This window comes from Homo sapiens, chromosome 16, assembly GCF_000001405.40.
Source record: "Homo sapiens chromosome 16, GRCh38.p14 Primary Assembly".
Lineage (NCBI taxonomy): Eukaryota > Metazoa > Chordata > Mammalia > Primates > Hominidae > Homo > Homo sapiens.
In genome coordinates, this window is record NC_000016.10 from 53,899,386 (window position 1) to 53,926,312 (window position 26,927).

Genomic DNA, 26,927 nt, shown 5'->3' on the forward strand with positions numbered 1-26,927 from the left:
ATTAAATGACTTCTCCAACAAAGCTTGGACTTTCTTGTTACAAATTTTCAAAATTATATAGAGAAAGCAGCATGGACTGGACAGGTTTTGGGCACAGGACTAGGGAAGTCCCTGAGGAGTAAACTGACTTCCTCTAGACAAGCTGAAAACTGATTAAAATATTTATCATCCTTTGGGTATGCAATAGCTTTTGATGATGGAAGGCATATTAATATTCATCTTTGCTGCTTGTCTACACTTCAGACAGATCCCAGGAAAGGATGTTCAGATGACCAGTTTTCTTTCCTCACCAGGAGTCCTTGAGAAACCAGTACAGCTTGGAACCAAGAAATGCCTTGTGATGTGGATTGAGCTTTTCCTTTGGGGGACGGGAATAGGGGAATACAAACCAGGGGAGACCTTTGGACTGGAAAGCTTTAAAGGATGACTGCTTTCACACAGGAAGTCTTTTGCTAGAACAAAGGAAAAAGTTTGGTTGTAATTCTATAAGCAGCAGAACTATTATTGCTTATCTGAATACATGAAGCTGACTTCATTCCTTAGGTAAAGTCGGAAGATTGAAGCCTTATAAAAGATTTTGATGTGAATGCCACTGGGGGCTGAAGATTTTTCTTCCTCCCCACCAACCCACCCCACCACTTTGTTGTAGGAGAGAAATCAGTTGTGTTTGTAGCCGATGCTCAGGTCTTCTGACTGGTTCTAGAGTGCCCCATCTCCCTTTTGTCCTGAGACAGAATTCGAATGCATATGGCATCCACATAGCCTGGCATAAGTAGCACAGGGTGGCCTTCTGGGATTCTCAGGATCTGTCTTTTAATTTTTTTTTCTTTAATGTGAGAAAGAGTCTGGCTTTATTAGTTGAGTTAATTAAGCAGTGTTGTTTTTTGTCTAGGTTGAAATAGCCTTGATTACATTTTTGGATGCAAATAAGACCTCTGAAAGAACTCGATCTTTATATGAGCAGTCTGAAAAATCTGAAAGTTAAATAGAATATTCTCAAAAAAAGGGCAATGTGTTAAGACTCTTGGTTTCCGTCTTTTAAATCTGAAAATTCAGAATCCTCTTCTCTTGCATTTCAGTTTTTATTATTCCACACTACTGAGATATTTTGATGAAAGCTAGCCTTAAACATTGGATAATAATTATATTTGAAATCTATTTTAATATAGTGACATCAGAAGTGCTCTTTCTTCATCCCAGTCATTTAATCATTCATCTGCTCCTTTTTTTTTTTTTTTTTTTTTTTTTTTGCAGATAAGTGTGGAGTTATACAAAGAGCTAGGACTTATGTCTCCCAGGTTGATAAGGCACAAGGCAGTAAGTAATTCAGAGGAAGAAAAAGGAGAAGAGCAGATTCTGACAGAGGCCTTTGGGAATACGAAGGATTTTGATAGATGGAGATGGGTGGAGAATATTCAAAGATGGCAGAAGCAGGGCCATCGCAGTGGGAAAACACAGACCTGCTCGCAAACTTGATTAGACTGGATGGAGTTTGGTTTGTGTGAGTCCAGCAGCTAGAGATAAGATTAGGAAGATTAGCAAGGACCTTTTTTTCTCTAATGCATTTCTTTGCAAGGTATGGCACTTTCACCCCTTAATGACTGGCTTCCTATCAAAGTCATGGGAAGCAAAGTGCTAAACATGTGCAACTAAAAATAAAATGAAAACCGTTTGATTATCTTGCACTTGCAAAGGTTTTACTTTGAAAGCAAGTCAAATTCAGTTATTTGCACTACTTTCAAGACCTGTCTGCTTTGTGAGTACAGCAAACAAGCAACACCATACATTTTTAGAATGAGAATTACAAATGAGATTAGGTAATTTTTCTACCAAGATTCTTTGTTTTTCTCTGATAAATTGAATACCAGCTTAATAATTTTGGACTTTGGTCAGAAGCAGGTCTTCCCATGTATGAACCACTTATGATTCTCTTCCTTGTTAGGAACCCTAAGTGTATTTCATTTGATCTTTTGCTATTAGAGTTGTGGTTTGGAAGAAATGACATCTTCATTGCCTCTTGTCCAGGTGACAGTCTTGTGAACTCAATACTTGCATAAAAATTATTTTGAAATAAAGCCAAAGTGTCATTCATGAGCTATTTGATTTGGTTCAAGAGAGTGGATGTGGTCTTCTCTCACTTCCACTGCTGAAATAGAGTGGTTTCTTTCCCACACATACCTCTCCACTCCTTGGCTAACAGTCCCACATTAGTGATTGTGCACTCTCTGCTGTCTCTATTTGCCATTGCACTTCAGCTTGTCAGTCACACCAATTGAAAGACTGAGTAAATGTTCAGAACGTAAATGGCCGTTGTTCACTCTGGTCTTTCCCACCTTTGCACATAAATTTCTGCTAGACCCTCATGTTTTCCCTCTCTATGTGATGCTGTTATTTTCCAATGACTGGTTTTATTACTTCTAAGGCACAAGATGTTAATTGTTGAGTGAGTAATAACTCTCAGTTTGTTCTTCAAACGTGGGCTTCTGAAAGATTGCCTTTACTTTGATTCTGCTTAGGAATCTAGGGTCTTGGGGTAAATTTAGAGGCCACTATTCTCCTTAAATGATAGTGACATAGAGAAATGATACTATGGGACTACTGTTTCATTTTACCAAAGAAACTGAAGAAAGTCACACCAGAGGGTCATTGCTCCCCTAGAGAACAAATGGGCTTCAGGCTTTTTAGAATGCCTTCTTCTTTGATATCTCATTATTGCTCATAATGCCAGAGAAACAGGTAACGTCGGCATAGTGATATTGGGCATTGCTTAATTTCTTTCAAGGCCTGAAACATTTATCCTCTCTTCTTTATATATTAGGTATTCACCCTAATGGTACTCAAACTGCTAGGCTCTGACAAGCTGAGGTCCAAGTGCCATGGCATTCAGGAATGTCAATGTTGGAAGGGACCTGAGAGGTGATCATCTTCTCTTCCTTTTTGGAAAGGAAGGACTCAGAAGGATGTAGGCTTTTCTGGAGGGCATAGAGCCAGATAATATAGAACCCCAGATTTCCCAGTTCCCAGTTCAGTGCTTTCTACTACTCCCTAAATATCCATGGCTGTGCTTGGGATATTTCTCTGATGCATTCGCCAACTTTCAACGGTGTGCCAATAGCAAAATAAGATAAACTGAGTGTTTCTCTGGAACTTTTTCTCTACCCTGTGTTTGGACCTGGCATATCAAAATGAGGCTCTCTGGTGTTGAGATGGACACTGTTTTTGCTCACCCAGCATTCATTCCTCCTTCTCTGGCAGCATCCTCATGTTGCCTTGTGGAGCCATTTTCTTCATTGGCTAGAGGGTGAGGTGCATTGTCTTATTCTGGCTACTCCATGAGCATATGACCTGAGCCAGATCTTTCACATGAGCTTTCTCAGAGCTGTTTGCTTATAAATATACATACAATATCATAGACACAGGATGCAGAATTCAAAAGTTATCAACGTGGCCGGGCATGGTGGCTCATTCCTGTAATTCTAGCTCTTAGAGAGACTGAGGGGCGAGGATCACTTCAGACTAAGAGTTCAAGACCAGCAACATAGCAAGACCTTGCCTCTACAAAAAATGCAAAAGACTTAGCCAGGCGTAGTGGCACATGCCCGTAGTTCCAGCTACTCGGGAGGGTGGGGCAGGAGGATCACTTGAGTCTAGGAGTTGGAGGTTACAGTGAGCTGTGGTAGCACCACTGTGCTCTAGCCTGGGTGACAGAGTGAGACCCTGTCTCTTACAAAATAAAAATAAAAACAAAGTTATAAAAGCCTATGCTGTGAAAAGTGTGTTTCTGTCCCCTCAATCCTCCAGCCACTCATTCCCTTCCCAAGAGGCTAGCACTATTCTTAGTTCTTTCCATACCTTTCTAGGGATATTCTAGTTTTTTTTTTTTTTTTCCTTGAGACGGAGTCTTCCTCTGTTGCCCAGGCTGGAGTGCAATGGTGCAATCTAGGCTCATTGCAACCTTTGCCTCCTGGGTCCAAGCGATTCTCCTGCCTCAGCCTCCCGAGTCGCTGGGATTCCAGGTGCTCGCCACCACACCAAGCTAATTTTTGTATTTTTAGTAGAGACAGGGTTTTGTTATGTTGGCTAGACTAGTCTCAAACTCCTGACCTCAAGTGATCTGGCCGCCTCAGCCTCCCAAAGTGCTGGGATTACAGGCGTGAGCCACTGTGCCCAGCTAAGATATTCTATGTAGTTACAAACGTTTATGTGTTTTTTCCCCACATGGATAACACTATGTCTTAGAGATTGTTCCAAATTTGTATGTTCTTTTAAATTACTGTGTAGCTTTTTATTGTATGGTTCCATAACTTATGTAACCAGACTTCTACTGTCTTTAGTCTTCTGCTTTTACAAATAATATTGTAGTGAGTATCCTAATACATAACGTTTTTCACAAGTGAGATCTATGGTAATTAATACCTAGGAGTAAAATTGTTGGATCAAAGGATGTGTGCATTTTTAATTTTAAGAGAGATGGTCAAATGCCTTCCATAGAGTTTGTAGCAGAGTTTATATGTGTGTGTGTGTAAATGTGTGTATTTGTAGATATATATACTATCTATATGTATGTATGTAGAGTTTATATACATATATAAATGTGTATATTTACATATAGATTAGTTTATTTACATATATAAACATAGACAATATACATATATGTTATCTATATACATGTGTATATGTATCTATATTTACATATAGATATATGTATATACATATACATATATGTACATGTGTACATATGTGTCCATATAATGCCAGTTTCCCAACATCCTCACCAGTGCAGTGTATCATCAGACTTTTTTGCAAGAATGATTGGTGAAAAATGGTGCCCCATTTCCATTTGCATTTCTCTCATTCCTGTTTTACTGAGAAAGAAACTAAGGCTCAGATGTATGAAAAGATTTGTCAGGTCATAGGAGTAGGGAGCAACAGAGCTGGGGTTTGCACTGAGGTGGGAGCAACTGTTCTCTTAATTGCTATAATAATCTTTACCCAGGCTCCATTCTGTTACTGCAACTGAAGAATCCCAATACATATAGCGGTTCCCATGAGGAACACCCATCTGTCCTTGACTGGTAAATGTGGGAAGGTTGTTCTCTTTCACCATGGACTTGTGCGTCAAATCAACTGATCAGTCTGGGTGATGGGTGCGGTTAGCGTGACATGCAGTGATGTTATTACGTGGTGGAACTGAGTTCCACACGGGATGTAGGTGGCCCTTTATGTACCCTGCTGAGTTCTAGGCCTTTGTGCTATAACTATTTTTGGCAATGGAAGGTGAAGGGAGGGCTCCCCATCCCTGGAAACATGGCACTTTGCCTGATTTTCTGTTTAAAGTTATGTTCCTGTTGGAATCTGTTCAGGTCTGAGTTTCAGTTGTCACCTTCTGATATGATGAGCCTCCTTGGCCTCTCCTGCTCGCCTCGTTCTTCCTCCACCTGTCAGTCTTCATTAGGATCATTTAAACACTGACTCATTCTCTGCTCTGGGCCTTTTCCTGCTTGGCTATGGAACTGCAGGTTGAAGCCTTTACCTTGCACACATAGTTTGTTAGGTAAGAGTTTTATTTCAAGAAGACTTTGCGGGGAACTGTGATGACTGGGGAGTGGTTAGAACAATATTTTCTAATAAAGACAAGGACGAAAAGAGATCTCAGCAGGGGAGGAGAGCTTTCTTTGACCCCTTACTATATTTGAGTGGGTGGACACTAATTCTCAGGAGTTGGGGGCCTTACTAGACCACATCTCTTGCTGTGTTATCTCATGCTATGTTGTAAAGTGAGCATCTGTTGCTGGCTGTATGACCCATGTGATCAGCCACTCCATCACCTTTGAAGTGGTCAGGCTTAGATATTCTTGGGTTAAGAGCTTTAGCTTTCAAGTTAATCAAACTGGGGTTTGGGCCCTGACTTCATCATTTTGTTGTGTATGACAGTGGCAGTCATATGGAGAGTCTCAAGTTTCTTCATTTGTAAAATGGGGATAATAATAGTATCTCCCTTAGCAGATGGTTGTGAGATTTGCCTGAGATAATACATGTAGTGTTTTGTCCATTGCCTGGCATCTTTTGCATTTTTGCTTTGAATCTACTTCTTTTATTCCTCCCGCCATCCTGCTAATTTGGTGACCCCTTAACTTTCACCTGAGTTCCTGTTGCTCCTTAGACTCTCATCTTAGGTTTGTGCATATGTATAATCCATGCTTTCCATTCAGTTCTCTGTTCAAAAGTCACCTCACAGTGGCCCTTTCTCTTTTTACCATGTTTTATTTTTTTCCTGAGAGTATTTATCACTGTCCGAAATTATGTTTTATGTGTTCACCTATTACCTGTGCTATTCTATAAGCACCTTGAGAGCAGGGACTCTGTCTCACATACTGCTGTGTTCTTGGTGCCTGAAACAAAGTCATAACACAACACATATTGGATGAACAAGTGAAGAAGCAAATGTTTCATGGGTGTACGCTCTCTCTGAGGTGCACCCTTTTATGCTAGTGGTGCTTTGTTTGTGATATTTGTTGAATGCCTTGCTCTTCCTTCTTTTTGGCGTAATCCATTTGAAAAACTCCCTTATTTTAAAAGATTCAATAATTATCCATTACTAACTGCAGAAATCTTATCTTTTTCACCTTCTCTGGAATGTAATTTCTCTGCATTAGACTCTGTCAACATTAGCATCTATATCAAAGACACTTCATGCAACTTTTTAAAGACATAAGCACCAGCTCCAGGCATCGGGGTTCAGTAGCCATAGCTCTCGATCTTGGCTGCATATTTGAAACACCTAGGACAATTTTTAAAATTTTTCATCAGTTAGGTCCCACCTCCAGAGATACAGATTTAATTGGTCTAAGCTGTGGGTCCCATGTGATTCTAATGTTTCACCAAGTTGCAGTATGGTTCAAAACCTCCCAAGTAATCCTGACATGTGTTTAGGGTTGATAATTACTGTTCAACAGGCACCTGACTTCTCACCAAGTTAGATTTGATTGAACGGACGAATATATGAACAGATTAGCGAATGAACAGGAAGGCTCCCTCACTTTAAACGAACAGAGAGGTATTGAGTGCCTGCTGTGTTTCCTTCATTCTGTGGGGGACTCGGGAGGGAAACAGCTATGTTTATGATTCTTATGTAAGGTGGAAGATGATGTTGATAACTATAGTAGAAACAGACTATGAAAGCTTGGAAGATGGTAGGATACATTTAGGTGGATCCGATTTCAAAGCTTCACAGTGAAGCATTTTGAGTTGATTCTTATAGAATGGAGAGAATTTTAACAGGAGGATGGACATGAGAAAAGAGTGGCTATTTCCTATGGAGAGAATAACGTGTAGAGTGGTAGAAGCAGGAAGATGCAGGTTATATAAGGCTTCTAAAGTGGACCAGTGGCTGTCCGTTCCCCCAAACTAGCCCCCTTCTAGAGTTCCCTAACTGAAGAAGCAGCACCACTCCACATCCAGGTCTTCATGCCAGAAGGAGAGGAATCCTTCTTGAAACTTCCCTCTCTCCACCCCAGGTACCCTGTGGGAGAACTCTTACCTTTGAAATACCTCTCAAAGTTGTCTGCTTTTCATCTCTCCTGCTACCAGCCTTCCTCTGGGCTATTGCAGTAGCTTACTCTATGGTCTCCTATACTCTTCACACAGCAGCCAGGGTAATATTATCATATGCAAATCTAATCATACTCCTCTCTGTGTAAACTCATTAATGGGTTCCACTTGCTCTTAGGATAAAGACTAAAATATAGATGCTCCTCAACTTACGATGGGTCTGTGTCCTGATATACCCATTGAAAGTTGAAAATATTGTTAAGTTGAAATTGCATTCAATATACCTAACCTACCCAACATCATAGATTAGCCTAGAGTGACTTAAACATGCTCAGAACGCATTAGCCTACCCTTGGCAAGATCATCTAAGACACAGCCTATTTTATAATAAAGTGTTGGATATCTCATGTAATTTATTGAATACAGTACACTGTAGAGTACAGTATTGGTGGTTTGCCCTCATGGTAGCTTGGCTGACGGGGAGCACAAACTCTCTGCCACAGCCCAGCATCGTGAGAGAGTATGGGACTGTGTGTCGCTAACCTGGCCAATGATAGAAATGCAAAATTCAAAGTATGGTTTCTACTGTGTGCATATAGCTTTTGCACCCTAGTAAAGTTGAAAAATTGTAAGTCAGACAAACCATCATAAGTCAAACTGTCATAAGTCAGGGACTGTCTGTCCTTTATCCTCAGCCCATCTTTTCCTCCTCACCTTTCCTCCAACCCCTTCACTCCCTGTATTCCTACCACAATGGCCCTTTCTCAATCAGTCTAATCACATCATGCTCCCTTCTTCTTCAGGGCCTTTGCACACGTCATTTGTTCTTCCTGGAATGTCTTCTCTCACCAAGAGAGGAATATATTTCTACTCACTTTTAAGATACCAGCTCAATTACTCCTTCCTCAGTCCAGACTCCCTTGATCTGTCTGACTAGATCAGGTCCCTGCACTATACTTTACCATTACTCTCATGAAAGCCATGCTTGAGAGCTCAAGCTTTATTCTGGAGGCACTGAGATTCTATGGCAGATAGAGTTTGAGAGTACTTACCTGTTTCGTGAAGGTCCAGTGCTGCTAGAGACATTAAAGTTGCTGAAGTGGTTTTTGGTCATATAATTTGTGAATCTTATTAACCATCCCTTGACAAAGAACTGAGAATTGTTGATCATATTGTAAAATAGAATGTAAATGGCCATGCAGTTTCTTTGTATAGATTCTCCAAATTATTGGAATATGAGCCAATTCCATGGGATTAATTTAGGTCCTATTATCTGCAATAAGACATCCCTTGTCAGATTTTCGTTGTCAGGGGCAAGTCTAAAATGTCCAACCATTGCATGCAAACTCGTAGTAAAGCCATTGTCTAGTTATTAACAAATGATGAGCAGGTGAGTGAATTGACAGGAATTATTCTTTTGGGATGTTGCCTCTGGCAGAACCTCAGTTATGGCCTCTGTCATTCTCCCTTCCTAATTTCATTATCTTCCAAATATTATTGACCTCAGATGTTAAGAAAGGTCCAGGTTCCTGGGGGTCGGCACATCGTTCCTTCTTTTGCCAGATATAAGAAACTTTGGGGACCTTGGCTACCAGCCTTTTCCTGTCAGGAAGGTCTGGTGCCATCCTCTTTGATATTGCCCTGTGCCTGTCTAGGTTGGCAGTCTTGTGACAAATCAGTACCTGTCATGGCCCGTGGGTACTTTGGCACTTCAGAGCCATGCAGAATGTGGACAGTGGGTTTGGAATTGTCATTGAGATGCCACTTTCTTATTCTTCTTGTGTTGGTGCCTAGAGTCACAATCCGGCCTGAAGGGCCAGGAGGTTTTCTGGCCCAGGGTAGATCCCCCTTGGCCCACGTACAAGAATCTTCATGCTGACTGAGTTGGAATCTCCTGGTGAGAAGTGATTTGTTGTCCTGATGAGAATGTAAACACTTGCTAAAGTTGAGTATCGTTTCTCATGTGAGTTCTATTATAGCCTTCTGTGTTTATAAACATGTCTTGAGCATGAGGGAGAAATGTGGTAACCTTTGAGTCCCCAAGAAAATGTTCATTTGTTTTCTCTGTGGGCTGAAATTAAGATAACTCAGCATCCTTCTCTGAGCATCCCATATCCCTCTTGCTTTTCCTAGCAGGCCTGGGATGATGCCCAGTTTGCCATTTCCTAATTGTTCCATCCTCTTCCAGTAGAGTCTGTTATCTTTTGAAAAAGTACAGTTCATATTCAGCAGGCATCTACCAGCGGGGCTCAAAGTCCAGGGAAGTCCTCAGTCCAGTCTAACAAACTGTTATTAAATTTTTTTAAAGGTTTAAGGTGTCGAACATTTGAGAAAACAGAGTTGCTGCCCTTGTGCTGCTCACATGTGTGTTAGCACATGTAACAGACATATACATGAATAAGGCATGATGTGCAGTGGCAAATGAGGGGGTAGAAAATACATGTTCTGAGGGTGCTGCAGAGAACAGAAGTCAGATTCAGAAAACTGGGCAAGACTTTATGGAAGAGGAGTGCCTTTCAATTGTGCCTTGAAAGGTGAATTAGATTTTAACAGGCAGAGATTTGGTGGGTGAAAAAGAGGGACAGAGAGCCCCGCCTTTTTTTTTTTTTTTTTTTTTTTTTTTTTTGAGACAGAGCCTTTTTTTTGAGACAGAGTCTCACTCTGTCACCCAGGCTGGAGTGCAGTGGTGCAATCATGGCTCACTGCAGCCTCCGCCTCCCAGGTTCAAGCGATTCTTCTGCCTCAGCTTCCCAAGTAGCTGGGATTACAGGTGCCCGCCACCACGCTCGGCTAATTTTTGTATTTTTGGTAGAGACAGGGTTTCACCATGTTGGCCAGGCTGGTCTCGAACTCCTGACCTCAGGTGATCCGCCCGCATTGGCTTTCCAGAGTGCTGGGATTACAGGTGTGAGCCACCACGCCCAGCTGAGAGCCTCTTTTTTTAAACAATTTTTTTTAAGGGACAGGATCTTGCTCTGTCATTTAGACTAGAGTACAGTGGTATAATCATAGCTTACTGCAGCCTCGAACTCCTGGGCTCAAGCGCTCCTCCTGCCTCAGCCTCCCAAATAGCTGGAAGTATAGCTCTACCACCACACAGTCTAGCTACTATGCCCGGCTAATTTATTATTTGTGGAGATGGGGTCTCACTTTGTTCCCCAGGTTGGGACGGAGCCCATTTTAGACAGTACAAACAATAGGCACAAGAGGGATGGCTCTGTAACGTTAGTAGGGCATATTTGCAGAAAAGTATGTGGTGCCTTGTAACCAGTACTTCCGGTACCTAGGTGGGGTAGAACTAGAGAACAAGTAGAGGGGGGAGAATGGGGCCAGCTGATGAAGAGCTTTGAATGATACACTTAGAAATTTGGCCTTTGTTCTGGAGACAGTGGTTGGAGCTGGATTCAAAGATTTTTGAGTAGGAAAGTGATCCAATCGACCCATTCTTCAAAATTAGAACTGGTAGCAGCATTGTGGATAGACTAGAGAGGAGAGGCTGGAGGCATGGGGACCTGCTGCAAAAATTTTGCTGCAAAATTATGAGGTTCTGAACCAGGGCAATAATTGGAGGGAATTAAAAGGGGTGGTAAATTCAGAGTTTTTGTTGATTGTTAGTTTGAGACTCAGTCTTACTGTGTCACTTAGGCTGGAGTGCAGTGGTGTGATCTCTGCTCACTGCAACCTCCGCCTCCCAGGTTCAAGTAATCCTCCTGCCTCAGCCTCCCAAGTAGTGGTATTACAGATGCGCACCACCATGCTTGGCTAATTTTCGTAATTTTAGTAGAGACGAGGTTTCGCCATGTTGGCCAGGCTAGTGTCAAACTCCTGACCTCAGGGGATCCGCCTGCCTCGACGTCCCAAAGTGCTGGGATTACAGGTGTGAGCCACTGCACCCAGCCTGTTTTGTTTTTAGATAGGTACATAGAATTCACCATCAGTCTGGATGACAGAGCTGAGAGATGATGAAGTCACAGGCAATTTTACAAGATTTCTTCTAGTCTTAGTTATTAGATGGATGGTGATACCATTTACTGAGCTACACCCAAGAAGGAAGTTTAGGGGCAAATGAGTTTGAGCAGCCGGTATACCGAACATCTCAGAAGAGCTGAAAATACCAGTTTGGAACTTGGTAGAGACGTCAGAGCCAAGCGTAGATTTGGGAGTTTGATTTATGTCTGCAGTAGGCATTCCTTTCATGCCTATCATGTGCCAGGCAGTGTTCTCTCATATGTTAACTCAGGCTTGAAAGCACTTAGCACATGGCAGGCATCTCCACAGAGACAGTGGCTGAGCGATTGGAGTGAGTAAGAGAGAATGTAGTTTCAAGAGTAAAGGAGAACAAAGTAGGGTGACCTAGTCTGAAGGACAGGCGCAGAACAGTCAGTGGAACAGCCAGAGATAGCAGCGAGAGAGGTGAGAAGAGGACCAGGAGTAGGTGGTAGAATGGAGTGGAGGAAAGTCAGCGAATGTAATAGTGTCGAACCCTGCAGGGAAGTTAAGAAGTGGCCATACCGTTGCATTCATCATGGGAAGAATTTCAGTAGAATGGTAAGGACAGGAGGACAAGGTGGGGGAAGATAGGTGAATCTATAGATGCATTTGTGTCATCTGATCTGAGGAGACATTTCTCAGAAACCATTCTGTGTGGCACTGATGTTTACAGGTCAACCTGGAGGTTCCTGAGAGGAAGTGCACTGTAGCCAGACATGTGGTATCCCAGCTAGCTTTACTCTGTTCTCCAGAAATCAGCCTGTAAACATTCAGTTGCCTGGTAGCTGACTAAATACAGGCTAACCTAAAGCCTTAAACATTTTAATTTGCAAAACCTTTGTTGTATTAAATCACAAATGGGAGGCAATTTAGCAATGCATCTCTAAAATTGCACTGGGCTCTGGCCGTGGTTTTGCAATTTATGTTGAAAACGAAAATTGAACTCTGTGGCATAAAAACAGATTGTTGATTTTGTGATTAATTTGGTCTCTAAGGCCAAGGAAACTGTTAATGCTGTATATCAGTTATAAAGTTGTGGTAGTATTTGTGGAGCAAAATGAAAAATCAATATCGTAACTACAGGATAGCTCTTTTAAAATCCAAGGTGCATTTTGTTGCAAATTGCATGGAAGAAACTGTCCCCCAAAGGGACAAACATACCTTCCTTATTTCACAAGTGTGTGTCTGTTGTGGAAAAACAGAGGAAAATGGTTGGGCATTATTACAGTATAGCTGGGGGTACTAGGAGAAGGATCAAATTGTTCAATTTAGAGTAAAACCTCACTTACAGTTACCTGTGTCCTAAGGCAACCTCCAGGAGTAATCTCTAGGAGGGTTGTGAGTCAGAAGTCCAGATACCTGGGTAACACTTTAGCCTCTGCTAATCACTTGCTGGTATCAGATGAGCCTCTTCCCCTCCCTGGCGTGTTTTGTGGTTTTATGTGTTAACTTCAGAGATGCACTGACATGCGTCAGTGAAAAAGGAGTGTCTTCCATTAGCATCATTATGAATACTACACCAAAGGGGTTTGTTTATGTTTTCCATTCCTAGAAGTGAATAGACTTCTTTTCTATTAAGCTTGTGTATTTAGAGAGGAGTGTGGGGAAATTCTTTCTTGTTTTGCCTTTTGTTTTGATAAAAGCAAATGGTTCCCACTCGCCGTAGAATCATCATCAACAGATTGCATGGGGAATGTTGAGGTTGGAGCCTCTTCTTAATGGGGATTTTGAGAACCAGGACATGACTTGTTCACCGGTTCATTTCTGCTGGCCATGATGCTTAGATGAGAAGTAGATCTCTCAACATCCAGGCACATTTGTTCTGCGATTCCACCTACCATTTTCCTGGGTAGTGCTGGGATTAATTAAGTCTGATACGCCATCCAGTTGAAATTTACTACCAGCTTCTTAGCCTAGTATATATTATCCTTACAAGTCAGGCCTCACCTTGAGGTCAGAAGAAGATGCAGCTTGTTCAAGAAAGAAGTGTTAGTGGAAATACGAAGAGTTCCTTCCAGTGAACTGTGCCTCAAGTGGCCTTTGTAAACTGCTTCTGTTCTGTGTGACTTATAATTATCTGAGAGCTGGGGGTTTTGTGGTAGATTTTCTTTGATGTATGGGCAGTGGTGGTAATTTGTTTCTTTCTTCCCCCTTCTATTTTGCTTTGCCTCATTTCAACTTAAGCAATGAATTGTGTGGTCTTTTATAATATAGAGATTAGTGTAGCCATTTTTAGCCAGTTTTTATCATCTCCCTTAGGAGCTGACTCTATGCAAAAGAAACACTTCTGTCTTGTCAGAATGACGGTGATTACCCCACAGTTTGGATCATCTCCAGCAGCTTTGTTCCCTGAAAAGCGAATTTGATTTGATGAATAAAAGTTTGGTGTATTTGATGAGTCAGAGGGCAGGAGAATGTCCTTGTCTCTGATGAGGCTCTTACAGTCAGACACATTGAACATCAGGGATAAAATAAACCTTAATCTCTGAAGGAAAAACCCTGGAGCATGAAACTGTTCCCACTAGAAATGCTGTAAATCTTGCAAACCATGTAGGTTTTCTGTTGGGGGCAACATCAAAGCCCAGTGACTTTAGAGATTAAAGTGTATTTGACAAGCAAAACTTTCCCTGTGCCTTGCTCTTTATGAGATTTGGCCTGTCTCTTGCCTTTGTTTCACCTCGCTATGACTTCCTTTCTTCCTGAGAAGTAGGAAGTATCACCTCAAGTCTGGGGTAGGCGGCCATGGTTTGTTCATTTAAAGCCACTCGTAGACCTGGCGCAGTGGCTCATGCCTGTAATCCTAGCACTTTGGGAGTCTGAGGTGGGTGGATCACCTGAGGTCAGGAGTTCAAGACCAGCTTGGCCAACATGGTGAAACCCTATCTCTACTAAAAATACAAAAATTAGCTGGGTGTGGTGGCGCATGCCTGTAATCCCAGCTACCCAGGAGGCTGAGGCAGGAGAATTGCTGGAACCCTGGGGGCGGAGGCTGCTGTGAGCCGAGACCACACCACTGCACTCCGGCTTGGGCGGCAGAGTGAGGCTCTGTCTCAAAAAAAGAAAAAAAAAAAAAAAAGCTGGTCATAGGCCCTGGCCACAGTCCCTCGGCCTTCTCGCATTGTCCTGCCCCAGTGGAGGACAGCGTCTTCTCACGATCACTTCCCAGGGACTCTCTTATTTGTGGAAGAGTTTCAGAGCCTTTTGCTGACTCGAAGAAGATCAAAAGACAGGAAGACAGTGGTTTGCCTCAGCTTGGACTTTAGCATTTCTGTTTCTTTTAAAACCATCTCCTGTGATGTCTTAGAAGAAATACTTCTTCTTTCTTTCTTTTTTCTTTTTTTTTTTGTCCTGTTTCAAATTCTGTTTCGGAGTTCTCAGTGCTTTCTCTTTCACACATTGGAAATAAATGACTGCATTTTTGTTGAAATAATTTTTTTTTTGCAGATAAATAATTGTTTAACAGAATAGAAACTTTTCTTCAGTAACGTCTTTTTTTGGAAAGTAAGTTACAAGATTTTGCTTTAAAAATACAAACTATTTTTAAAGAATTGTACTCTCTAAAGTCAAACATTCCTGCCTCCTGTCAAGTCCCTATAAGATCTGGTCTGTGGCAACTTCTCAGGGTGGTCAGATAGCAAGAGGAGGACAGATTGGGAAGGCAAAATGGCTTTAAGGGTAAACCCCACAGCGTAAAATCTCATTACTGGAAAAGCGCTTTGTGTTTAAGGATAGGTATTCCCGTGTGGAAGGACGGCCATGGCGAATGCTTAAGGGACTCACTAAAATATCTTAAATTGTCTCCGTTAAACATGTAGCATCCTTAGAGGTCAGACAGAGCTGAAACTTGAACAGCTGTACAACAAGCATCTGAGATTGTTTTTAATTGTGTTTCCTTTCTCTAACAGCAGTAATTCTTGTTTATATTGTCAAGAACCTTTCCACTGAGCACAAGCGCACCATACTTGAAGGTCAAATGCTTAACCCTTCTGCATGGTTACAATGAAAATGGACCCTTTTGTTTTCATTAATGTATACCCCAGCCATGTCTACAGGGAGAATGGGGGCCCCAAGCGTTCACCAAGCTGAAGCAACTTATTGTAAAAGAGCCACAAAGAGAGCATATTTTTGTTTCCATACAACAGTTGTTTAGCTTTTGCCTTGTGCACCCAACCATAAGACGGTATGCTTACTTATCAATGGGCAGAATTTTGGGGGACCATTTTGTTCCTTTGACCTGTGTTACTTTTTACTGACCCAACCAAATTGCTTAAAAATTTTCCCTTTCTGCTGTCAGTGTTTAAAGCTGCTTAATGTCTCTGAAGTGATCCCTTCTTTCTTTTTAACACTTTACATTCCTGTTTATCACAGCACCTGTTACTATAGTGAACCATGAAATCACAAATGCTATGCAGCTCTTATTGACCAATAATACTTTATTAAATATAAATAGAGTATCCTCCCAGCTTCTGTATGGTGTATAAAGGTCTCAGTATATGAAGACAAATGCACATATGTCCATAGGTGCACATGTATTGTTTGGTGGGCAACAATCGGGAAAGGAGGATGTTTTATTTATTTGTCAGGCAAGAAATGTTTCTTTTTCTGCTCCTTAAGAGTTAACCAAAACTAAAGGGGCCAGTTCAGCAAACACTAAATGTGAGCCTCCAACATGAAGGCATCTTTGTTACTGAAACAAAAATACCACAGCAGGTGGTAGACTCGAACACAGGAGGGAGGAGGAGGTTCAGTTGTTGCCCATTTTTCTAATCCTTTCAGAATACCCATTGTCTGAACCCCAAAGTTAACATGTTCCTGCTCAGTCTCATGGAGACAATTTCAGCGTGAAAGGGCTGTGCCCATCACTGGTTTTCGACAACAGTTTAATCTTTGGGTATGGAATGTGTAACCACTCAACAAGGCAGGAGAGGCAATTGTCTGTCTGAGATGAGCCAATAATATCTGCTTATCAAAGCATAAAACTATTCTGGATGTGGCAAGTCAGAGTTAAGTAGGAATTCATGCCAACCGCAGCAGTAGTTTGCAGGTTTTAGACTGTATTAATCAAGACAGAAACATGACTTTTGTTGTCCTTGGGGCAGCTCAAAGCAACTTTGTGGCAACCACACTGGCTTTCTAAAGCTAAGGCTAAACTCTGCACAGTCTGCATCTATTTATATCAAGGTGCTTCAGTGGGGATATAGCTTTTAAAATGGATTCATAATTGAAGTTGGAATATTGTTTTCATTCCCTAAAACTGAATGAAATGTAGTTTATAACTCTGGACCTCAGAGTGCCCTACCTAAGTGGGAGGCATTAAAAGATGAGTTAAGGGGCAAAGGCGGGCTAGCAGACTGATGCCTATTACTGCTTATGATGAAGGGTACCACTATCCGGTTCATATGCTTGGGTCTCTCTGTGTTCTCATTGAGCCATCCACAATCGTTTCTTTTATTCTAAATCACCGTTGGAATGATATAAGAAAATGAATGCAGTATAATGAGAATTAAAAAAATAAATTTGTAAGAAGTATAGAGTTGGAAATCTTGTTCCTATAAACGTAAGACACAAATTCTAATGAGCTTATAGATGGTCCGTAAATCACGTTTTGCTCATGTGAACATTGAACATTGGGTATTCTTTCCTAACCAGAGAGAAGCTACGATTCTGCTGCCTATGCCACACTTTAGATGGAATGATGGCCTCTTTTAGTGGCACTAAATGTATACACAGAGCACTAAACATATACACAGAGCAGTATCTGCAAACTTAAGGACTTGTGTGATCTTCTGGATAATACTAGCACTCAGAAGTTAACATTTCATCTGACGCATTCCTTTCATATGTAGTATTCATAAATGTGAAAATAGCCTTAAATCATTATTTTCACCCTTGACCTGGGACACTATAGCTAGGGAGAATCTCTGGGATATCTGGAGGGGAGCTAAGGCTCATCAACTATTTGGTGGTTGTCTTTCTGAGTTTAAAAAATGATGCTGTTTACTGTGACCTCAGGTGTCTGTCTGTGTGTCCAAGTGAGACTGTAGTCGGGGAGAGTCCCTGATTGGAGTCTCAGTCACCAGAAGTCCAGTCACCACTTCTTCCACCAGTGGAGACTGTCTGTGAACCCTAGTCTGTCAGTGAAACCATGGTCAAGGGCGTAGCATCATTAACCCCAATTCTGCCAGCCATCCTTACTCTGCTACCCCATGAGAATCTGGGCCACTCATTGAACACTCCAAGCCTGGATTCCTTCACTTGGAAAATGAGTTTGCTGAAGATACCAACCTGCCGTGTCAGTTTGTTAAAGGGAATACATGAGATGCTGCATTCCTGCCTCACAGAAAGTTCCTTATAGTTTGTCATTTCATAGTTTAGGAGGTAAGAGAGTGAACTCTACTACCCACTGGGTTTAACTCTTGTCCCCACTACTTATCAGCTCTGTGATCTGAGGCAAGTTACTTAATATCTTTGTGCTTTGATTTTCTTTTCTGTAAGCTGGGATAATAATAAAACCGATTTCACTGAATTGTTATAAGGATTTAAATTGGGGTTACATGAAAAGTGATTAGGACAGGGCTTGGCACACGGTAAGTGTAAAATAAGTAATAGTTATTGTTATGTTTTTGTTATTGTTGTTGACACATTTCTGATTATGTGTTTTAGGTAGTCATTGTGATGGGTTTTTTTTTCATGGCTACTATTAATATGTTAATAAATGCACTGATATTTCCAGTTAATAGGTCCTGAATTCCTATTTGAGAGCCATACCACAAAATTGAGTGAGTGTGTGTGTGTGTGTGTGTGTGTGTGTGTGTGTCCATCTGTCCATCCGTCGTCCATCTCCTCTGGGTAAATATGTGCCGAGTAGCAGGTAGTTCTGACATTGAAGACTCTGTAGACAGTGGCGTTTAGGCAGGGACTGCATTTGTCTTAGGTAGATATTATCTAAGGACAAGTACAGCAACTCTGCCCGTGTGATTTTCACTGAATTATCCTTTTCTACCAGATTGTTATTTTATTTAAGTTTTAATCGTTACAATGTCAGTAGCATGAGCTTAGTGAGACATAGCTTTGACCTCAGGAATCTTAAGAAAAATAAGATTATTCTTATCTTAATAATAATAGAAAAATAAGTTTATTAAGAGTGGGCCGGGTTTGTGGTGATATTTGTTAGTTATATCTTTGTTCCTACAGGTCTACATTTTAGTTCCATTGTCTCAAAATGAAAAGATAATAGCACAGTCATGTGTTGCTTAATGATGGGGATATTTTCCGGGAAATGTCTCATTAGGTGATGTTGTTGTTGTGTGAACATCATAGAGTGTACTTACACAAACCTAGAAGGTAGAGCCTACTACACACCTAGGCTATATGGTGTAGTCTGTTGCCCCCAGGCTATAAACCTGTACAGCATGTTACTGTACTGCACACTGTAGGCAACTGTGACACAATGATAAGTATTTGTGTATCTAGAGATATCGAAACATAGAAAAGGCAGAGTAAAAATATGGCATGATAATCTTATGAGACCACTGTCATATATGTGATCTGTCATTGACTGGAACATCATTATATGACACACAACTCTATTTAGCGAATCAGTATTAAATGATAACATGAAGATTATGATAGGCAAGGAACAGGACATTCTAGTAGAGCAGAGTAACTATTTTATAAATCAAAATCAACCCTAAAAGCTTAATCAAATTTAACAGTTATTTTATGTCCCCCTTGGTCATCCTCCACCCTGTGTATATGTTGTATTTCCCAGCATAGATTGTAAGCTCCTAGTGGCCAGGTATTGTGACCTTCTGGATGTCTTCTGTATAGCAGAGACTCAAATGTCATTGATTGGTTTATCACATGGCAGTTTACCTTCAGTATGTTCCATTCCATATGTTCTGTATAAACCGTGCTGGGCCTGGAGTTAGAACACCTGGTTTCTAGTCTGAGCTCAACTTCTTTACAAACTTTGATATTAAAGAGTTACTTAATTTAGCTAAGCCTCAGTTTCCTTGTCTATAAAAATGTGATTAATACTTGCTCTACCCAACACACATAGTTAGTATGAGGATCAAATGAGATGAAGTTAATGAAAGCACTTTCCGAACTTTGTCAGTTTACGTATATGTTAGTTTTGGGCACAGGCGCCTGATGTCTGGGTTAGATTTGGCTCTGTTGCTTACTAATGATATAAAATTTGACAAATTACTTAACCTTTCTGAGTCTCAGTTTTTTCATTTGCAAAATGGAAATGATAATACCTTTATCTTATAGACTTATTTTTAGGATTCAGTAACATAGTATATGTGAGCAGCACCTGGCATATAGAAAGCACCCAATAATGTTGGCTGCTGTATCATTATCATCATTATCATGAGTCAGAAAGTGTCGAGGTTAAGAGATATCAGCTTACCTGATATCAGTGCACTCTGCTACCCCATGAGACCCTGGGGTAAGACTGAATAGGGGTTGGAAAACAGTGTGGAGATGCCTTAAAGAACTAAAGGTAGAACTACCATTTGATCCAGCAGTCCCACTACTGGGTGTCTACCCAAAGGAAAAGAATTCATTATACAAAAAAAGATACTTTCACATGCATGTTTATAGCAGCACAATTTACAATTGCAGCAATACGGAACCAGTCCAAATGCCCATCAGCCAACAAGCGGATAAAGAAATTGTGGTATATGTATATATGTATACCAAATGGAATACTATTCAGCCATAAAAAGAAACAAAATAATGGCATTCACAGCAACCTGGATGGAATTGGAGACCATTGTTCTAACTGAAGTAACTCAGGAATGGAAAACCAACCATCGCATGTTCTCACTCGTAAGTGGGAGCTAAGCTGTGAGGAGGCAAAGGCATAAGAATGATACAATGGACTTTGGGGACTTGGGGAAAAGGGTGGGAAGGAGGTGAGGGATAAAAGACTACACATTGGGTACAGTGTACACTGCTCAGGTGATGAGTGCACCAAAATCTCAGGAATCACCACTAAAGAATTTATTCATGTAACCAAACACCACCTGTTTCCCAAAACCTACTGAAATAATAATAATTTTAAAAAGACTAAATGGGGGAAAGAGAGGAATAAAGAAAGGCTTCATTTTTATGACTCATTTTAGTAGATTTAATGTGACTCTGACTGGCTGGTACTTTAGATTTATCCTAAATCTCAGTAGCAAAATTCTAGGGAGAAAAAGGAGCTAACACTTACAGACTGGCTGCCATGTGTCAGGTACTATGGTAAGGGCCTTATGTGTAAAAACTAAATCCTGTGAGCTCTCTGAAGTAGCTGCTATAAATATCCTCATTTTACACATGAGGAAACTGAGGTCCAGAGAGGATAAGTAACTTGCCTGTGGCCAGCTTGGTCGCTAAGTTGGCCTTCAGGGCCTTGGTTCTTCCTTCCTGTGCTAAAGTCCTCAAGTACAAGGGAGACCTCCTGAATCACCAAAAATAATTTTTTCTTCATTGCAGCCAAAAGCAGAGAAGTTTATGCATCAGCTTTGCTCTAATTTGAGTTTTTGTACTGTCCAGATCGCAGCCTACATAGGGCACATATAAAGTGTAGAATTTGTGTGTGTGTATATATAATTTTCCCAAATCTTTCATTTTTAGCTATACATTTCTCTCATGTTCCAAAATGCTGTCTGCTTAATGTTCCAAAGCATCTCCAACTCCATGTGTCTAGTATGGAACGCGTCCCTTGTGACTTTGCAGTGGCAGGGGTTGGCATGAGGGATATACTGTCTTTGTGCCTCAGTTTTTTCATCTTTAAAATGGAGATGCTTGATATATGGTGATTGCTGGATGAAGTGAGATAATGTTGATGGAATGGTTGTTGGCATGGCAGGTCGTAAGCACTAAATAAACATAGCTGTTGTTCTTATTGCCACTCTGGGGGGACCAGTTCTCTAGGCCTGGGGGCAGTAGTAAGGTCTCAGTAGGACCTTCTGGCTTCACTCTCCTGAGCAGATAAAATTTCCACTAGGGCTTTGGTTTGGGTATTGCTGAAAGAGGAGTTGGGTGGGTAGGTGGGTGGGGGTAGATATATACAAAGGAGTGAATTATAACAAAGAGCCTTTTCTGCTTCAATTCTTGTGTAGAAAACATATGTTCAGTGATGCAGGCAGCAGTTGGGTTAAAGACACACTGTAGGGCCGCAGACAAAAGGCCTGTGCCCTTCCTGCATTCACAATGTTTCCAAACATATTCACTTGTCTCACTTGTTAGGGACTGAGCTGTCAGCTGGATCCTCTTGCAAGTGTGATTTCTTTTTCCCGTCCCCTTTCAAAGGCCATCCCTCCCTTCCCCTCTCCCCCAGTGTTTTACACTTCATATAATCCAGTGTGCCCGACAGACCACTTCAGCCTTTGTGCTGCTGATGTTTAGGGGAAGGAGAGAATTGATCTGATGGAGATCTTGGGTAACTTTTCACTTGTCCAAGGATCGGAAAGTGCTAAGCCACTTTTAGGCCAAACATCATCAGTGGCTCAATTATTTCGTACTTGGTATAGTTAGCCGTTCTTCACCTTCAATTAACAGTTAGGACAACGAACAGATTAGTGCAGTGGAATTCTTAGAAGTAGCGTCTGGGAATTAGGGGCATGTGTGTGTTGTGGTGGGGTTGGGAGAGTTCTTGCTTTTATTTATAAAGTTAATAGTTTTTGATAAAAAGATAAAGATAAGGCAAGGCACCGTGGAAGTATTTGGAGAGAAGTCAGCTGTCATTCTAGTATTAATTATGTGAAATGTACAGGTATGTCCATGTTTAATTCTAGATTCAGGTAGTATTGCTATGTGCCATGGCTGCAGTTTGAGCATTTTCATTTTCTTTATTGAAGGTTTTGTGGCTCTGATGGTTTTATTTTCATCAGTGAGACTTTAAAAAGATATATTTATGTATATTACTTTTTGTGATATATATATATAGCATAACAGTATTAGGTATAATACTTTTATGTATAATCTACCAACACTACTATTGAGGTAACAGCGAGCTAGAGATTTAAAGAATTAGCATGCTAAGTACTTCCATCACTGATTACTCTTGGGCATTTCACCCTCCCAAAATGGACAAGTGAAAATCTGCAAAATGGGAATTACATGATCATCATACTTTATAAAGCGTACCATAGTAAAATAAAAACAGTTTTATCGATGATGGTCAACAACAACAATTTTCTTGTCTTTGTAGAGATCTTGGATTGTGTCTTCATTCCCATATCATTGAGTCAGTTTTAATGCTCTCATTTCCTTTTTTTCCCCAAGAGTTTTGCTCTTGCTTTCTGTTTCATGCTATTGTTTATTAGTTGGGTTGCTCATCCTGAAAAGCAGCAGCATATCCCAAGGAAGGAGAGGCAGTAGGCAGGCAGAGAATTTCCCATTGGCTTAAAGCTGTAAATGGGTTGTTAGCTCATTTTAGCAGTGGAGCAATTATAATCCTGCTAATGAATACGCAGGCAAGTGGAGTTTCCCATATATGGTGTCTTCTGGTGTGAGGATAATTTCAACACCTAAAAATCCACAGACAAAAAAAAATGTCATATAAGTATTTTTTAACAGAAAATGCCAACAAAGTCATCCTCCCAATACGTGTCAGAACCGACAAAGGAAACTACTGATGGTGTTATAACTTTTAGTACTGTCATCTGAAAAATCCTTGAAAGGAAAACACTGTGGTAACGCATACATATTCCCCTCAGACTGAAAGTAACAGCCTGCAAAGATCTTAGTAGTGGGTGAAGCTAATAGACTGCAAGTTGGGATGAATTGCACCTAAGGTGGCACCTTTCTCTTGTGCCTGGAGTGGAATGTCACCCAGAACCAACAGTAGAACAACTGGGAAATAAGTTGATATTCTTTCCAACATCGAATGGATTCATTTCACAGAGTTGGGGAGGAAGTGAGGGTAATAAGAGTGTGTTTCTGAGGCTCTTCCTTCCAGCAGATAGGTTTTGTTTTCTTGGTTGTAAAAGAGGCTAATGCTTCAGAAGCTAGAGTGATTCCTGGACTCTCTTGGTAAGACTAATTATGCTGTTTCCTGCTCCCGTCTGTGAATCAGCTTTGTTACATAGAATGCACGTAATAGTGACGAAGAGTAGACTCTACTGAAGCAAACCAATCTATTAGGCTGCTTGGAAAACAGAGGGAGAAAGAAGAACAATGATTTTGTAAACTCCATAAAGGCCAAAAAAAGGCTTTCAGTAAGTATGCAGAGACTAGAAATCAAATCCCATTTCCTATCATAAGAAGCCTGTTGTTTCAGCCGTAGTAGTTAATGTACTGTATGTGAAAGATTTAAGACTGGTTGGAAAGCTCTGCTTCTGTTTTATTAGGCTGCTATTGAAAAGCCAACAGCATAACTTCGACTAGGTGCTTTGAGATTTCTTAATGGGCTGTCAGGGGCAAGACACCAGGGCTGTGCTATACTAGCTCTTTCCTGTACATTAAAACAACAGGGGCCAAACGATCACATACAGAAGTATGAATTACTTGATGCTTTCTCTGTTCCATATGGCCAGCCATGTCTTTGGCAATTAATCATGTACAAAATCAGTCGAGTGCTCTCTGAAGCATTGAAGTCAACATTTAGTTGTACCTGTGCCAGTAGGGGCAGTGGGGTTGCAGGCGTAAAATAGCAGGATGAGGGGCTGCTGGCGCCAAGGCCCAAGCAGCTGGCTTCTATAAACAACACTTTTTTTTCCTCTTTACCTTTCTCCCCCACTTTTTCTTTCTTTCTATTTTTTTTTTTCTTTCCTTGACAAGTACATGGGGCTGTTTTTCACCATCATCTGAAACACCAGCGTTGCCAACTGGAGCTCTGAGGTCTAGCTTTCGTACATTGCCCCAGCATCCGAGCTTAAACGTATGGGGCAGGCCATCTTTTCCCACAGCAGCCTGAACATTCCAGCGGTCGCCCACATGACTGTCCCCGAGAGTTTCTGCAGTGGCAGGCAGGCTGCTGTGGCTCCATGGCTTTTTGTCAAACAGAGGAGGCAGAGTGATTTCTCTACTCGTAGAAGGAGAGAGATGGGAGATATGGTGTAAGTGCTTTGGGGAAAAAACAAAAATAAGTAGTCATTCATAGTCATGGCTGTGATATTTTAGGATTTTGGGTTTTGTAAATCAATATCCATATCTTTTCTTCTGTGATATTTCCCCCAAGACTTCATACACATAATGCTGCTGCCAATAGTCCTAATACCAATTTCTAACATTTATCAAGCATTTTGTGTATGCTGAGCACTGTGCTAAGCACTTTACATGGATTATTTCATTTACTCTTCACAAGAGCTTCACGAGTTCGGTGCTATTACTTATACCCCTTTATGGATGAGGAAACTGATCAAAGAAACATTTTCCCTGAATTCTTTCCTCATAGACATTCTTGATTACTCTCAGCTAGCCCCCTTAGCTCAATAGTACATGATGGAAAAACACTAAAATATGTCTTACTGGCACATTTTTGAGGAGTCATGTGGTGAACTCTGCGGAGATGTTCAGTCAAATAAAGTGGGTCTTTGAGATGAACTGAACCAAGTGTGTCTTTAAGGTGGGAATGAAAGCCTGCTTTGTTGGCAGCCTCTTGAAGACTTCTGCCTTTGTGCCTTCCTTTCAAGACAGTGGAGTTTATCTCCTGCTTTCCTGGGTGAGTAGACTATGAAGGGCGGGGGAGGGGAAGGAAGGATGAAGACAGCAGCCTTAAGTAGTCCAGTAGACGTGGCACCCAGTGGTGACTTGGTGTTATCTCTTAGCCGAGGTCATCCAGGATGCGTTTTCTCAAATTCAGGAAACAGGGGAAAGAAAGTTTTAACATTGTGTAAACATTGGCACCCCCAAAACCTCCTCCGGGAGATAAGGTAGGCAGAAGGGCTGGGAGGAATGTTTATTTGTTCTGCCACGCTGTGGATCCAAGCATGCTGGAAATCTTTGGTGGTGCCCAGTCCAGTTTAGAAAATGTGAAGGCATCACTCAGCATTGAGCCAAAGAGGCCTCACAAAAGAGCCATCTTAAACTGACAATCACTAAATGAAGGAAGACCTGAGATCGACCTTTCTTTGATGGGACTAAGGCTATCTCAGTGGGTTCTGTGCCTTTCTTCTTTTTTTTCTTTCTTTCTTTTTTTTGTAAAAAAAAAAAAAAAAGGAAGGAGAGAAAAAAAGTGTTCCTGGACTTTTGAAGAGGGGAGCCCTGGTTGGGGCTTTTGACAGCCTGTGGCAATGTTGATGTGAGGAAATAGCTTTCCCAGCTGATAACATCTTAAACCAAGTTTCTTCACAAGTTGAACCTTTAGCCCTCATTATCAGTCAGAGCATATCTTTGTAATTTGTGTGTGCAGAGGGGAAATACAGCCCTAACATGAGACAGCTATGTATATAAAAAGTGTTGGGGGTGACATTTTTCCCGTAATGACAGTATTACTTCTGTGGTGGTAGTGAGGATGGGTAGATGGGGAGGTCAGAAAGGTACGCAGTTCTGGGATCCTGGTGTTTAAATGCCTTTTGAAATTGCAAGAACAGTAGTAGATTTTTTTTTTAATGAACTCTGAAGAGGGATTACCAGCCATATTTGTAGAATGCCATCCTGTTTCCATGCATTTCCTTAGACAACATTCTTTGATTTGTAAGACGGAGAGATTAAGTCTGAGTTTTGGGGTTACAGGCCTATCAGAAGCCGTTGCATCATATCAGAGAGGAACCAAAAGGATTAAAGACTTGTATAGAATTATTAGTAAAGAGTAAATGGTGTAAGTCTCCTTTTAAATTTCAGAGTGGTTCCTCTCTGAAAACCCTACATGCAACAAATTCTGCTATGATACAGTGGAATTAGGACATACTGAAAGTTACTGACTGTAGCAATATGCCCCACAAGAATTAGGTGAATTGCTGAGTTTTAATTGAATCCGTTCAGAATTGGGAGACTTTTTCCAAGAAAGACAGGAAACTTAAGCATAAAATTCAAGGCTCCTTAGAGTTCTTGGCTTTTCTTTTCTAATTTGCATTCAGTCTCTCTCTCTGTCTCTCTCTGGCTGTGGATTTTTTGCTTTGGTTTTATACATGAAGTTTTGAGCCAGGAGAAATGAAAGACTCTGGGAAATTCTTAGGGGTCCTTAATATGCTGTGTGTTGCCAGAATCCAAACTAGTTTTCTCTACTGAAATGGAGAAAGTGGGACTTCTTCCTCCTATACATAACCTCATATTAGGAGGGTATATTTTTAGGCACGTCCATCCAAATGAGTATTGTCCTTTTAAGTAGTCACCTACCAAGGGCATATACTCATTTTTCTTGATTCTGTTACTTAAAAATAGTTTTTCCGACCCCGTTCTTAGACTCATCTTCAGGAATAGTTTGAATCAAATCACAGATGGTT

The 26,927-nt window shown here is 41.0% G+C and overlaps 1 protein-coding gene across 24 annotated transcripts in view, besides 1 other annotated feature; it reads left to right on the forward strand.

The window, feature by feature from the left end:
• FTO (FTO alpha-ketoglutarate dependent dioxygenase) overlaps positions 1-26,927 on the forward strand; it is a 417,979-nt gene that overhangs the window by 195,423 nt on the left and 195,629 nt on the right. The window contains exon 8 of one of the 24 annotated variants that reach the window (NM_001363894.2): positions 1,255-1,317. The exons of the other annotated variants lie outside the window; for them this stretch is intronic. Coding sequence (NP_001350823.1) covers positions 1,255-1,317 — 63 coding nt within the window. The remainder of the gene's footprint in view (positions 1-1,254; positions 1,318-26,927) is intronic. 24 annotated transcript variants of the gene reach the window in all.
• Positions 14,904-16,549: an enhancer, noted in NCBI's record as "VISTA enhancer hs155". NCBI's record gives its function as "enhancer in: hindbrain (rhombencephalon)[3/5]" and the evidence as "EXISTENCE:transgenic organism evidence [ECO:0001131][PMID:17130149]".